The following is a 15,881-nucleotide window of genomic DNA, read 5'->3' on the forward strand; positions in this document are numbered from 1 at the left end:
TGGAAACAACTGAAATGCCCATCAACTGGTAAACAGATAAGCAGAATGTGTTTTCACAAGATGGATTCTATTAAGTAACTCAAAGAAACAGATATATAGCATTGATTCATGCCACAGCATAGATGAGCTACATAAACATTATGCTATTTAAAAAGCCAGGTAAAATAAAAGTAAAAGATACATACTATGGGACTCCATATTTTTTAATTCCTAGACAAGGAAAACTTTTAGAGGCAGAAACCAAAACAGGGGGTGTCTACAGCTGAAAATGGGAGTGAGCATTGACTACAAGTGGTCATGAGTAAAGTTTTGGGGTGATGGAAATTTTGGGGGTGAAAGAAATGTATAGAACTAGATTGTGGTCATTGTTGCACAACTGTCTAAATTTACTAAAACCAGCCCAACTCTTTCATGGAACTGATGTTTACTGGTCTTTGAATAAACACAGAAATTGACCCCCCACCCCCACCCCACCATACCCTGTCTTGAAGCTTGAAACTTACATTTGTCTCATGGGAGTTTCTTCCTCAGGACACTAACCCTCAACCCTCCTAGAAACCAAGGAACTGAAACTCACCAGATAACTGTATCCAGAAAATGAGATGCCAGACCTCTCATCCATGGATTATGATTCCAGTTTACCAATTCCTCTTCCTTACCCTACCCTAATATTTGTTTTTGCACAAGTATTTTTTCCCTGCTATATAAACCCCTAATTTTAATCATTTGGGGAGATGGATTTGAGACTTTATCTCCCATTCTCCTCAGCTGCAGCACCTGATTAAAGTTTTCTTCTCTGGCAATATTTGTTGTCTCACTGATTGGCATTTTGTGAAGCAAGCAGCAGGACCTAGATGAAACCCTTGATGTTTTGGTAATATACATACATGAGGACATGTAAATTATACCTTAATAAAGTTATCGAAAATAACAAAGATAATTCCACCCACACATCTGACCTTTTTAATGATATTTATCCATTTTTTTCTGCTACATTATAGAATGCCCTTCAGGCTACTTGTTCATGTATTGTTTCATCATTTGAGTAACTTTCTTCCTTCTTCCTGCCTTCTTATGCACCTCACAAAGTTTAGATCTTGATTATTTGTTTCTTTCTTTCTCTTTTAAACCACTGTATGTTCCTCTGCCTTCAGAGACTTTACTATCAACTCCATGAACTCCATGCTACCTTTGTAAAACTACTTCTTCCTCCTATGAATGGACAGGTATGAAAGCTCTGGCAAGCAAAGAAAAGCCAGACCCATGGAAGAAAAGCAGAATGTAATCAGCTAATCCAACTATGAAAGGCTGTCTGTGTTGAGAAAAGTAATCAGTAGAAGAGAAGGTGAAATTGTGGAATATAGAATGGAGAGCACACAAACAAAGATTTCAAGATAAGATACCTTCATATTTTCCTCTGAGAGAACATTTTATAGCAAGAGTATAATCTTCTTAGCAGCTCCCTTCAGATGTGGTAATGATTAATGGCCAATGCTGGAGAATTGCACAGATTTGGCAGAAATCAAGGTACAAGATATACTTGAGAACTCTACTGGGATCATTTGGGGTTAATGTCTCCTTATGACATGCCAGAATATGAGATAGGATTGTATCACTTGGGCCTTTTTCGTTGGTTATATTTATCCTAATTTTACATTTGAAGCCTTGAGTTAAATTCTAACTTTGACCTTATCTGATATGCAGTGGCTGGCAGCCATAGCTTATACATGTATAGATATGTATAAAAATGACATCACTTAAGGCATTCTTCGGTGGTTTCCTAGTATGACAGAGTCGATTTTTCTTTTTTGCCTCACCAGATGTGTTTAAGTGTGGGATGAAATATAAACAAACGTTTATGGAATCAGTATTGTAAACAAGAAGGTGAACAGTAAAGTTATATGGTGACCCCATATCCTGATGATTTGTTCCTAGAAATTCTCAAGGGCAATTATAAGGATCCTTTTGCACACTCAGGTTGAACTTCACCTAGAAGTAGAATATGCCTAATCTACAAGCTTCTGGGAGAAACAATACTTCTGTATGCACACAATATACTTGAATCGTATTCATATCATATATACTTAGAGGAAATGTATCAGTCTATTTTCACACTGCTATAAGGAACTAACTCAGACTGGGTAATTTATGAAGAAACGAGTTTTAATTGACTCACAGTTCCACAGGCTTAACAGGAAGCATGACTGGGAGGCCTCAGGAAACTTACAATCATTACAGAAGGCAAAGGAGAAGGAAGCACCTTGTTCACATGGCAGCAGGAGAGAGAGAGAGAGCGAGAGGAGAAGTGCCATATACTTTTAAACCATCAGCTCTCATGAGAAGTCACTCACTATCATGAGAATAGCATGGGAGAAATTTGCCTCCATAATCCAATTACCTTCCACTAGGCCCCTACTCCAATACTAAGGTTCACAACTCAAGGTGAGATTTGGGTGGGGACACAGAGCCAAACCAAACCGAGGAACAATCCTTGAGTCACCTTAATCAACACTGGACATAAAGAACTAAGAGGGATTTGAAGTTCAATAAATTAGTTTACTGAATCAAGTAGAGATGGCTTTTAGGCAAACATATTAACCTAAATAAGCAGAGTAGGGAACATTCTTTTTCAATAACTTGGCATTACTCAGGAATGATTACAGAGTAATCAATGATTACTGAAATAACAATTATAATAAATTCTGATGTATTTAAATGGTTCTAGTTGGCTATACTAGAAGATCAAGTCAGGAGGGACATATCTCTGGGAACTACGGACAATCTAAACTATACCAAGATGTCATTTGTAAGTATGGGCATTATCAATCTTCTATTACAGTCATATTTCTATGAACTAGGAAACAAACATCTTCTTCATGGTACCTTTGGCGAAGTTTGGACAGACTAAGAATCAATGCATTGCTTTATTAAAGAAAAGTGACTGGTGTGCTGCATTCATATGCAGAAGCTTTCGCTAGTGAAAGTTTATTCCTAGGGGATGGTTTATAGTTATGCTATCAGACCAGATGCAGAATTGTCGGAGAAAGAGTATCTAATGACTACTCTGGTAATGTAAAATGTATGATATGTAGGAAAAGTCTATTTTTTGCTAGGAAAGTTGAGAAAATAATTTGGAAATATTAAAGTGTATTGTGTTAAATATTTCATCTCTCTGCCTCAGCTCTATCGTGTGATAAGGGATTTTTAAATTCATTTATGTAGTTAGATAAAAATAAAATCTGAGTGCATACTGATCTCTAGGACAGAAAGATTATTTGGATGGGCAACATAAAACTTACAACTAGGTAATCCTTATGTAGAAGGATTTGCCAGAGAAAGAATTGAATTTACGTGTGTAAACTAATATACCCAGTTGAATGTATCAACACTTATAAAAAGGCAGAAGTAATAGAGGATAAGGGGGAAAAATTGTCTTTCAAATGTTAAAGAAATATCAGAACAGTTAAGTGAATCTATCTATGGTTGTTAATTTGCTTTGTAGAGGGAATTCCAACTTCTTAGTGTATGAAATATGCTCTGGTGATAGCCAGTGTTTTAACATCTATTTTTAATGCACTAGATATTATAGAAGTTAGTGTAACAAAAATTTTAAGAAGATTCCTCAGAAATGTGTAGCAAGTGGGTAACACATAATGAGTGCAGATGACTTAGAAGTCATAAGATATTATATCTAAAGTTACAAGACTTCTACTATGCTATTGCCATAGAAGCTATATTGTTGCCTGCCTGGTATCCTTAATTAAAGCTAAATCAACTTGGAGCTGTGTAAGGTCTACTGGGTCTCTCCAGGTTGGCATTCAGTCTGAACCTAAGGCTGCTGCTCATTAAACTATCACTGGAAATTCACTATTCAGTGTGATTTCTGATGGAAAAATGATATAATGGGTTTGCTTTTATGTTTGTTGATTTCTTCATGTGTCAATAACATTCAGGAAGTTCTTCAATAACTCCTGCTGGCCAAGCAAATTGGGGATTGCAAATGTATTTATTTTCAGATTTATTCTCTGTGGCCTTAATGTGAACAAGTGATGCTTTAAAGCCAAAAAGCATAACAGGCTCCCAGTTTTCCCCCTTCTCTTACGCATATCCTAGAATAATCCAAGATGATGGGCACCTCAGTAGGGTAGGTGGCTGGCAAATTTATCACTTTGGTTGTATAATTTGGAAAAAGATATTGATAACATTAATAATAACATGATCATTAAATACTTATATGAATAATTGTCACCGAAGATGAATCTCCCATCTATGCATTTTTCTTCCCAAAAAAAGGCAAGAAATAAAACAACAAGAAGATGACTTTAAAGCATTTCTTTTCACAGCCTGACTATTTAAAGGGCTTGTTTCTTTTCTGCAGCAACTTCATGATCCTTTTGTAAAGGTTCATTGGTTCTAATTACTCAAACTCTGAGACTGGAAACTGGAACCTTAAGTGCTCTAATGCTATCAAATTCTCTCATGCCCAACTTACACTCTCAAAAAAAGATTTCCTCAAAGTTGGCTTCCATTAATTTCCATCTCATTAGCTTTAACCCATCGATTTAAGGACCCAGTCTTTCATACTTCTTCAAGAAATCTCACGTTGTATACAATGCCAAATCTAAACTACTCTACATGCAAGGTAGCCATCTTAAATTAATTTATAAATAATTGGATCCATTTATTCAGACCTTAATTTGTACCAAATGTCTGACTCCGAAAAATGAAGAGTGGAAAAGAAACAGAAACAATAACTTCTGTCAAACAGAAGGTGCTCTAGGAAAGGAGATGAGAGAGAAACCTATCTTTAAATGAAATGCTGTTACAGAAACATAAAAATACTTTACAAAAGTACAGAAAAGCCTGTCATGACAAAGGGGCTGGGAGAATAAACCAACATATATTTGACTTAGTAAAAGAAAAGCAAATCTTTGAGCATTCAGTTCCTCTTCTCTCCAATGCCAGTTAAATTTGTATCTTTAATGCCTCATGAAATTACTATGCCTTTGGCCGTATCATTTCATCTTCAACATCATATTATCTTCACTTGCCTATCTGAGTACTCTAACAGATCATCATCCCCACTCACTTTTGATGAATTCTCGTTAGTGCTCTTAGTCTTTCTCATCAAATTTAACAACTCAATAATTGTGATGTTTTCTGATTATTTCACTGTGAAGAAGGATTATTTCTTGCAAAATATAGTCAACTCCTTGAGGATTAGGGCTGTGCCTTACTCGTTCTACGTATTTTTCAGAGCACTTAGTTTAGTACGAATCACCTAAAAATCTGTGTAGATTAAATTATAATCTAGCCAAGAAAGTAATACAACATGTAGCATACATATATTAGGACTTGCACAATAGTGCTTTTGTTTGTTTGTTTGTTTCCTTTGCCAAACTGGATGAGCAAGTTTACTAGGGTTTTAAGAAATCCCTACTGCTCTATTTAAATGTTTGTTTTTTCCCCTAAGATCTCCTGTATTTGAAATATCTCAATACCCAACTATTTTTATTTTACTCAGATGACTATGCTTGGACATTATAACTGTCAGGCCTCTGAGCCCAAGCCAAGCCATCGCATCCCCTGTGACTTGCACTTATACGCCCAGATGGCCTGAAGTAACTGAAGAATCACAAAAGAAGTGAATATGCCCTGCCCCACCTTAACTGATGACATTCCACCACAAAAGAAGTGTAAATGGCCAGTCCTTGCCTTAAGTGATGACATTACCTTGTGAAAGTCCTTTTCCTCGCTCATCCTGGCTCAAAAAGCACCTCCACTGAGCACCTTGCGAACCCCACTCCTGCCCGCCAGAGAACAAACCCCCTTTGACTGTAATTTTCCTTTACCTATCCAAATCCTATAAAACGGCCTCACCCTTATCTCCCTTCGCTGACTCTCTTTTCGGACTCAGCCCGCCTGCACCTGGGTGAAATAAACAGCCATGTTGCTCACACAAAGCCTGTTTGATGGTCTCTTCACATGGACGCGCATGAAATTTGGTGCCGTGACTCGGATCGGGGGACCTCCCTTGGGAGATCAATCCCCTGTCCTCCTGTTCTTTGCTCCCTGAGAAAGATCCACCTATGACCTCAGGTCCTCAGACCGACCAGCCCAAGGAACATCTCACCAATTTCAAATCAGGTAAGCGGCCTCTTCTTACTCTCTTCTCCAACCTCTCTCACTGTCCCTCAACCACTTTCTCCTTTCCACTCTTCAATCTCTCCCTTCTCTTAATTTCAATTCCTTTCATTTTCTGGGAGAGACAAAGGAGACACATTTTATCCGTGGACCCAAAACTCCGGCGCCGGTCACGGACAGGGAAGGCAGCCTTCCCTTGGTGTTTAATCATTGCAGGGACGCCTGATTATACACCCACGTTTCAAGGGTGTCAGACCACACAGGGACGCCTGCCTTGGTCCTTCACCCTTAGCGGCAAGTCCTGCTTTTCTGGGGAAGGGGCAAGTACCTCAACCCCTTCTCTCCTTGTCTCTAACCCTTCTCTGCTTTTCTGGGAGAGGGGCAAGTACCCCTCAACCCCTCCTCTTTCACCCTTAGCAGCAAGTCCCGCTTTTCTACAGGGCAAGAACCCCCAATCTCTTATTTCCGCACCCCAACCTCTTATCTCTGCGCCCCAATCCCTTATTTCCGCACCCCAACCTCGTATCTCTGTGCCCCAATCCCTTATTTCCATGCCCCAACCCCTTATTTCCGTGCCCCGACCCCTTATTTCTGTGCCCCATCCCTTATTTCTGTGCCCCGACCTCTTATCTCTGTGCCCCAACCCCTTTTCCCACTTTTCTGGAAGGTAAGAACCCCCGAACCCCTTCCCTCTGTTTCCCTACTCTCTCTTTTCTCTAGGCTTGCTTCCTTGACTATAGGCAACCTTCCACCCTCCATTCCTCCTTCTACTCCCTTGGCCTGTGTTCTCAAAAACTTAAAACCTCTTCAACTCACACCTGACCTAAAACCTAAATGCCTTATTTTCTTCTGCAATGCCGCTTGACCCCAATACAAACTCGACAGTAGTTCCAAATAGCCAGAAAATGGCACTTTGAATTTTTCCATCCTGCAAGATCTAAATAATTCTTGTCGTAAAATAGGCAAACGGTCTGAGGTGCCTGACGTCCAGGCATTCTTTTACACATCAGTCCCTTCCTAGTCTCTGTGCCCAATGCAACTCGTCCCAAATCTTCCTTCTTTCCCTCCCGCCTGTCCCCTCAGTACCAACCCCAAGCATCGCTGAGTCTTTCTAATCTTCCTTTTCTACAGACCCATCTGACCTCTCCCTTCCTCCCCAGGCTGCTCCTCGCCAGGCCGAGCTAGGTCCCAATTCTTCCTCAGCCTCTGCTCCTCCACCCTATAATCTTTTTATCGCCTCCCCTCCTCACACCTGGTCGGGCTTACAGTTTCGTTCCGTGACTAGCCCTCCCCCACCTGCCCAGCAATTTACTCTTAAAAAGGTGGCTGGAGCCAAAGGCATAGTCAAGGTTAATGCTCCTTTTTCTTTATCCCAAATCAGATAGCGTTTAGGCTCTTTTTCATCAAATATAAAAATCCAGCCCAGTTCATGACGTGTTTGGCAGCAACCCTGAGACACTTTACAGCCCTAGACCCTAAAAGGTCAAAAGGCCGTCTTATTCTCAAAATACATTTTATTACCCAATCTGCTCCTGACATTAAATAAAACTCCAAAAATTAAATTCCGGCCCTCAAACCCCACAACAGGATTTAATTAACCTCGCCTTCAAGGTGTACAATAATAGAAAAATGTTGCAATTCCTTGCCTCCACTGTGAGACAAACCCCAGCCACATCTCCAGCACAAAAGAACTTCCAAATGCCTGAACCGCAGCGGCCAGGCGTTCCTCCAGAACCTCCTCCCACAGGAGCTTGCTACACATGCAGGAAATCTGGCCACTGGGCCAAGGAATGCCTGCAGCCCGGGATTCCTCCTAAGCCGCGTCCCATCTGTGTGGGACCCCACTGAAAATCGGACTGTTCAACTCACCTGGCAGCCACTCCCAGAGCCCCTGGAACTCTGGCCCAAGGCTGACTGACTCCTTCCCAGATCTTCTCGGCTTAGCGGCTGAAGACTGACACTGCTTGATCGCCTCGGAAGCCCCCTAGACAATCACGGACGCCGAGCTTCGGGTAACTCTCACAGTGGAAGGTAAGCCCGTCCCCTTCTTAATCAATACGGAGGCTACCCACTCCACATTACCTTCTTTTCAAGGGCCTGTTTCCCTTGCCTCCATAACTGTTGTGGGTATTGACGGCCAGGCTTCTAAACCTCTGAAAACTCCCCAACTCTGTTGCCAACTTAGACCATACTCTTTTAAGCACTCCTTTTTAGTTATCCCCACCTGCCCAGTTCCCTTATTAGGCTGTGACACTTTAACTAAATTATCTGCTTCCCTGACTATTCCTGGACTACAGCTATATCTCATTGCCGCCCTTCTTCCCAATCCAAAGCCTCCTTTGCATACTCCTCTTGTATCCCCCCACCTTAACCTACAAGTATAAGATACCTCTACTCCCTCCTTGGCGACCAATCATGCACCCCTTACCATCTCATTAAAACCTAATCACCCTTACCCCACTCAACGCCGACATCCCATCCCGCAGCACGCTTTAAAAAGATTAAAGCCTGTTATCACTTGCCTGCTACAGCATGGCCTTTTAAAGCCTATAAACTCTCCTTACAATTCCCCCATTTCACCTGTCCTAAAACCAGATAAGCCTTACAAGTTAGTTCAGAATCTGCGCCTTATCAACCAAATTGTTTTGCCTATCCACCCCGTGCTGCCAAACCCATATACTCTCCTATCCTCAGTACCTGCCTCTATAACCCATTATTCTGTTCTAGATCTCAAACATGCTTTCTTTACTATTCCTTTGCACCCTTAATCCCAGCCTCTCTTCGCTTTCACTTGGACTGACCCTGACACCCATCAAGCTCAGCAAATTACCTAGGCTGTACTGCCACAAAGCTTCACAGGCAGCCCCCATTACTTCAATCAAGCCCAAATTTCTTCCTCATCTGTTACCTATCTCAGCATAATTCTCATAAAAACACACGTGCTCTCCCTGCCAATCGTGTCCGACTGATCTCTCAAACCACAGCAACTTCTACAAAACAACAACTCCTTTCTTTCCTAGGCATGGTTAGTGTGGTCAGAATTCTTACACAAGAGCCAGGACCACACCCTGTAGCCTTTCTGCCCAAACAACTTGACCTTACTGTTTTAGTCTAGCCCTCATGTCTGCGTGCAGTGGCTGCCACTGCATTAATACTTTTAGAGGCCCTCAAAATCACAAACTATGCTCAACTCACTCTCTACAGTTCTCATAACTTCCAAAACCTATTTTCTTCCTCATACCTGATGCATATACTTTCTGCTTCCCAGCTCCTTCAGCTATACTCACTCTTTGTTGAGTCTCCCACAATTACCGTCGTTCTTGACCCAGACTTCAATCCGGCCTCCCACATTATTCCTGATACCACACCTGACCCCCATGACTGTATCCCTCTGATCCACCTGACATTCACCCCATTTCCCCAAATTTCCTTCTTTCCTGTTCCTCACCCTGATCACGCTTGATTTATTGATGGCGGTTCCACCAGGCCTAATCCCCACACACCAGCAAAGGCAGGTTATGCTATAGTACAAGCCACTAGCCCGCCTCTTAGAACCTCTCATTTCCTTTCCATCGTGGAAATCTATCCTCAAGGAAATAACTTCTCAGTGTTCCATCTGCTATTCTACTACTCCTCAGGGATTATTCAGGCCCCCTCCCTTCCCTACACATCAAGTTCGAGGATTTGCCCCACCCAGGACTGGCAAATTAGCTTTACTCAACATGCCCTGAGTCAGATAACTAAAATACCTCTTAGTCTAGGTAGATACTTTCACTGGATAGGTAGAGGCCTTTCCTACAGGGTCTGAGAAGGCCACCGCAGGCATTTCTTCCCTTCTGTCAGACATAATTCCTCAGTTTAGCCTTCCCACCTCAATACAGTCTGATAACGGACGAGCCTTTATTAGTCAAATCAGCCAAGCAGTTTTTCAGGCTCTTAATATTCAGTGAAACCTTTATATCCCTTACGGTCCTCCGTCTTCAAGAAAAGTAGAATGGACTAAAGGTCTTTTAAAAATACACCTCACCAAGCTCAGCCACCAACTTAAAAAGGACTGGACAATACTTTTACCACTTTCCCTTCTCAGAATTCAGGCCTGTCCTCAGAATGCTACAGGGGTACAGCCCATTTGAGCGGTATAGATGCTCCTTTTTATTAAGCCCCAGTCTCATTCCAGACACCAGAGCAACTTAAGACTGTGCCCCCCAAAAAACTTGTCATCCCTACTATCTTCTGTCTAGTCATACTCCTATTCACCGTTCTCAACTACTCGTACATGCCCTGCTCTTGTTTACACTGCCGGTTTACACTGTTTTTCCAAGCCATCACAGCTGATATCTCCTGGTGCTATCCCCAAACTGCCACTCTTAACTCTTGAAGTAAATAAATAATCTTTGCTGGCAGGACTATGCTGAATCTCCTTAGGCACTCTCTAATCAGATATCCTGAGTTGTCCCAATTCTTAGACCTTTTATACCTGTTTTTCTCCTTCTGTTATTCCATTTAGTTTCTCAATTCATCCAAAACCGTATCCAGGCCATCACCAATCATTCTATATGACAAATGTTTCTTCTAACATCCCCACAATATCACCCCTTACCACAAGGCCTCCCTTCAGCTTAATCTCTCCCAGTCTAGGTTCCCACGCCGCCCCTAATCCTGCTTGAAGCAGCCCTGAGAAACATCGCCCATTCTCTCTCCATACCACCCCCCAAAAATTTTCGCCGCCCCAACACTTCAACACTATTTTGTTTTATTTTTCTTATTAATATAAGAAGCCAGGAATGTCAGGCCTCTGAGCTCAAGCCAAGCCATCGCATCCCCTGTGACTTGCACTTATACGCCCAGATGGCCTGAAGTAACTGAAGAATCACAAAAGAAGTGAATATGCCCTGCCCCACCTTAACTGATGACATTCCACCACAAAAGAAGTGTAAATGGCCAGTCCTTGCCTTAAGTGATGACTTTACCTTGTGAAAGTCCTTTTCCTGGCTCATCCTGGCTCAGAAACACCCCCACTGAGCACCTTGCGACCCCCGACTCCTGCCCGCCAGAGAACAAACCCCCTTTGAATGTAATTTTCCTTTACCTACCCAAATCCTATAAAACGGCCCCACCCTTATCTCCCTTAGCTGACTCTCTTTTCGGACTCAGCCCGCCTGCACCCGGGTGAAATAAACAGCCATGTTGCTCACACAAAGCCTGTTTGGTGGTCTCTTCACGCGCATGAAAATAACAAAATTTACTACCAGTGAAAGCTGAAAAGAAAATGAGCTCTTTTTTGGAAACAATAGGTGAATAAAAGCTAAAATTGATCAAAGAAATGTTTCATTTATTGGACATATACTAAAGAAAATAGTATAAAATATATTGTACATTTTGTTTCTTCTAGAGCAATATCATATTTCAAGTCAAATATCTAGTAAACCAGCAATATATAGAACCATAAGTATGAGCGTGAATATAGTCAAAATTAAAAATACACAATTTACATGATTGTAAAAACAATCACATACAAATAAGCAGAAGCTTCATAAAAAATGCAAGCACCTAAGCATTAATTATTGAAACCGGACCATGAAATTGGACAACTTTCACTATGACAACCAAAAAACATGATACAGAAATATAAAAGTAAATAATTGTGTTTACAAATGAGTTTTCTTTAAAAAGCTACACTGTTAAGTATATCAAGGAAAGGGGATAACGTCTGAAAAATAATATAAAATCTAAATATTCTGTTTTCAGTTACACAAATTCAAAATGCAAGGAATTGTGATTACTATAATGCTAGCATTAGTATTTCTTCAAATTTATCAAATGGGAAACCTCAGCCTAAACTACATAAGCCCTAAGGTTTTAAGAGATACTGAAATATGTGCTAAACACTTAATAATGTTTAATTTGATGATCTAAGTCATATTTGTCATGTATTATAAAACCAAAATATAATTTGCCTTTCTTCATTAGTAGTCTAGTAATTACTTAAGGTCATAAACTATATGTTGATAGTTTCTTTATTTCTTATGATTTGGCATCGTGCGCAATACTTTAAATGCTCTACACAATAAATCATTTTCAAATAAATGTGTTAATTATTCAACTTTGCCTCTTTAACAGCATATATGATTGACTTATGTTTTCAGTCAGTTTAGCATCTCAAGAGTCTTTTTGAAGTGATTCTTCTGAATAATCAAGTTTGGAAGTACTACGTTATAGGGATACTAATATAACTGTAGTTTAAAATATTTTACTTTGTAAAAAATTTAAAAATGAATTAACCTGAAATATAAGTTATTTCCCATGACTCATAAATAAATTCCTAATACATATTTTACCTACATCTATTAGTTCTTTTTATCCATTTATTCATTTAACAAATAATATTTATTAAAGGTCAATGTGCTGGGACTGTGTAAGGTGTTAGGCATACAGTAGTGATAGAAAAAGAAGAAAAGTATGCAAAAAAATTGACAATAATTTTATTCCATTTGAGCCTATAATTAAGTGAGAGAAACAGATAGTTTAACCATATAATTATAAATTTTTAAATGTGCTGTGAAGGAGAAATCAGGATGCTCCAAGATAATAAAGGGGTAACATTGAGAAGAGGAAATCATGGAAGTCTTCTTTGAGGAAGCGGCATTTAAATTAAGACCTAAAAGACGGAAAGCATATGAATGAAAGTTATCTCATCACTGTGGGAGCATCATAACAAATAAGAGAAAGATAAAATGCTAAGTGAAGAAATTGAACGCTAATCCAGTAATACAGGATATCGATTATGGGCTTCATTTTTATAGCAGTAGAAAACCATTGAAGGGGTCAAGCATGCTAATTATTTGAGTGATTTCAAATGTAATATAGCCCACTGGCTAATGAATGAAGAAGAGGGAAAGAGGAGACATAAATAATACTCATAGAAGGACATTTCACAGGTTTAGGTGAAAGTTGATGGTGGCAGTGAAAGAAAAATTAAGGCCGGGCGTGGTGGCTCACACCTGTAATCCCAGCACTTTGGGAGGCCGAGGCAGGCAGATCACGAGGTCAGGAGAACCAGACCATCCTGGCTAACACGGTGAAACCCCGTCTCTAATAAAAATACAAAAAAAAAATTGCCGGGCATGGTGGTGGGCTCCTGTAGTCCCAGCTACTCAGGAGGCTGAGACAGGAGAATGGCGTGAACTCGGGAGGCGGAGCTTGCAGTGAGCTGAGATCGCACCACTGCACTCCAACCTGGGCGACAGAGCAAAAAAAAGAAAAAAAGAAAAACAGGTAGATGCATTAAATAAGTATATGAGAAAAAATTGGTAGGAGGTGGTAATAGATTGGAGATGGGAGTAAATGAGTATGTTTCAAGAATAACTTTTTCCAATCAAATGGAAGGTGTTGCTATTTTCTTTTCCTTCTTTCTTTTTTCTTTTTCTTTTCTTTTTTTTTTTTTTTTTTTTTGAGACAGAGTCTCGTTCCGTCACCCAGCCGGGAGTGCAATGGCGCGATCTTGGCTCACTGCAACCTCCAAGAGATTCTCCCGCTTCAGCCTCCTGAGGTGTTGCTAGTTTCTTAGATTGGGGAATATCATCCATTTGAAAAAATGCTGATAGTGTAATCAAACTTGGAATTCAATTAAAGTCCTAAGCATGAGTGAATAACCTGTATAAGTTCAGAATTACATGTTGGTGTATATATTTCAATTCTAATACAAATAGGTTTAGCCAAGAAATGGAGTGGTCTTTAGAAAAAAATAAAATGCTTCAAATATCAAAAATAAATTAAAATTGTGTACTAATGTAAAAATAGGTCCACATTTTTGTAAGCTTTGCTCATGAAGACTTTATCCGGTATTTGCTGAAATACTGAACCCCCTCAAGACCTTAAGTAAATATAACCCTCAAACTTTAATCATGACATTATACACACAAACCAAAGAAAACAAAATCATTATTTGAAAGAAATTGTCGTCTATGGCCATACCACTCTGAACCCTCCCAATCTTGTGTGAAATAAATTGTCAAGAGACATTAAAATACGATGTAGTTTTATCTTAAACTTGAATATTTGAAATTACAAAAACAGAATTTAATATGTAATTTTATATGTTATGTACGTGTCCTCCACAGAGCACTAAATAACACAGGACACTCAGAAGTATATACAGATAAGGTAGCAACAAATATTAATAATCATAAGTGCTTTACATAATTTATGAGAATGGTACAGTAATAATAGCAAGTTACCACATGCAGCATTTGCTAAGCATGCATGTGATAGTAGTTTATATAGTTAGTTTAATAATCACAACACTCTTTTGAGGTTGGTACTATTATTATCACCATTTTAAAGATTGGAAAACTGAGGTACAAAAGGTTATGTCATGTAATGGTACAAAGTGGCAGAAAGAAATGCAACTAGCTAGCCTGCCTCCCAATTCTATTGTCTTTAAATTGGATTCTACTTCATCTCTGTCACTTAAAACCCTCGTTAATTTGGAACAATCATCTGTCATTATATTAACTCACATTTTTCTATAAAATTAGGCTATAAAAATAATTATGTTCAAAGTTTTTTCCTATGATATATTACCTATGATATAGAATAACTACCTATGATATAGGTATGATAATTACCTATGATATAGGTATACCTATGATATAGAATAACTACCTATGAATAATTACCTATGATATAGAATAACTAAGAAATTAAAATATTTCCAATTTAAGAGCAGGAAGGGGTAGCTTGGCTAAAGCTGTGAAGTTAGAGATCATCTCGGGAAAGGACTATGTGAGGTGATACTTAGTGTGTGATAGAATTCTTACGCCAAATAGAACATATATCTAAAATTAGGTGTTTTCTAAACTCATTGAGGGTACATTAGTCGAGGGAATTAAATTCTATGGACATTAACTGAATTCCTACTGTGTGTAAGTCATTATACTGACCACTCGTGGTTAGATCATTAAAAGTTTTTGTCTTAAAGGAACTTACAGATCAGTAGGGGAGACAGACACGTAAAAGTTAGCCTTAACGCAAGCCACAATAAAACATGTGGGAGATACAGTTGATAGCTGGTACGTGGAAGCAATTAATTTTGACTTGCTAGGAAAATATAGCCTTTATTAAAGAGGTAACAATTGTACTGTGTGTTAAAGATTTTCTTTTTTAAAGATACAACTTGGATCAAACCTTCAACCTGAGAGAGCTCTCAATAGTTACAGAATAAGAAGAATATTCCATGCTAAAAACAAGTAAAACAAAACCCTATATATTATTCTCGGATTCATAACATGAAGGGATGTAGCAGGAGATGAAACAAATATATTTAAGAGTATTACATAGATGTCCTTGACTGTATGTGTGGAGCTTTCTTCCTTCCATTGGTAGGTTTTCCAGGAGGGTGAGGATCTGTTCTGACTCAGTTTCAGAATAATCATCTGAAACAGTGTGGTAGGAAATCCATTGAAATAGCCAGATTGCCCAACATAGTTTACTGTAGTAGCCTAAATTATGGCAGCACATAGGCATGGAAAAGGAATTGGTGGTGGAAATGGGAATGCAAATTGGTACAGTCACCTTAGAAGACAGCTTCTCAGTTTCTAACAAAGATATCCATATTCATTCTATATGATCCAGCAATCCCACTCCTTGGTATTTACCAAAAGGATTTGAAAATTTATGTCCATGTAAAAAAAAAAACTTAGCATGGATGATTATAGCAGCTTTATTAATAATGGCCA

General features: G+C 39.3%; 1 protein-coding gene across 20 annotated transcripts in view, besides 3 other annotated features; it reads right to left on the reverse strand.

Annotated features, from left to right (window-relative positions):
- The window catches only part of PCDH15 (protocadherin related 15), a 1,825,172-nt gene that overhangs the window by 358,357 nt on the left and 1,450,934 nt on the right, over positions 1-15,881 (reverse strand). The gene's annotated exons all lie outside the window — the stretch shown is intronic.
- Positions 5,236-6,061: an enhancer, noted in NCBI's record as "NANOG-H3K27ac hESC enhancer chr10:55926123-55926948 (GRCh37/hg19 assembly coordinates)". NCBI's record gives its function as "activates a minimal SCP1, AML or CMV promoter by ChIP-STARR-seq in primed H9 embryonic stem cells {active_cell/tissue: H9 hESC(primed)}" and the evidence as "EXISTENCE:reporter gene assay evidence [ECO:0000049][PMID:30033119]".
- Positions 6,062-6,885: an enhancer, noted in NCBI's record as "NANOG-H3K27ac hESC enhancer chr10:55926949-55927772 (GRCh37/hg19 assembly coordinates)". NCBI's record gives its function as "activates a minimal SCP1, AML or CMV promoter by ChIP-STARR-seq in naive H9 embryonic stem cells {active_cell/tissue: H9 hESC(naive)}" and the evidence as "EXISTENCE:reporter gene assay evidence [ECO:0000049][PMID:30033119]".
- Positions 10,168-10,936: an enhancer, noted in NCBI's record as "OCT4-NANOG-H3K27ac hESC enhancer chr10:55931055-55931823 (GRCh37/hg19 assembly coordinates)". NCBI's record gives its function as "activates a minimal SCP1, AML or CMV promoter by ChIP-STARR-seq in naive H9 embryonic stem cells {active_cell/tissue: H9 hESC(naive)}" and the evidence as "EXISTENCE:reporter gene assay evidence [ECO:0000049][PMID:30033119]".

This window comes from Homo sapiens, chromosome 10 (genome assembly GCF_000001405.40).
Source record: "Homo sapiens chromosome 10, GRCh38.p14 Primary Assembly".
Lineage (NCBI taxonomy): Eukaryota > Metazoa > Chordata > Mammalia > Primates > Hominidae > Homo > Homo sapiens.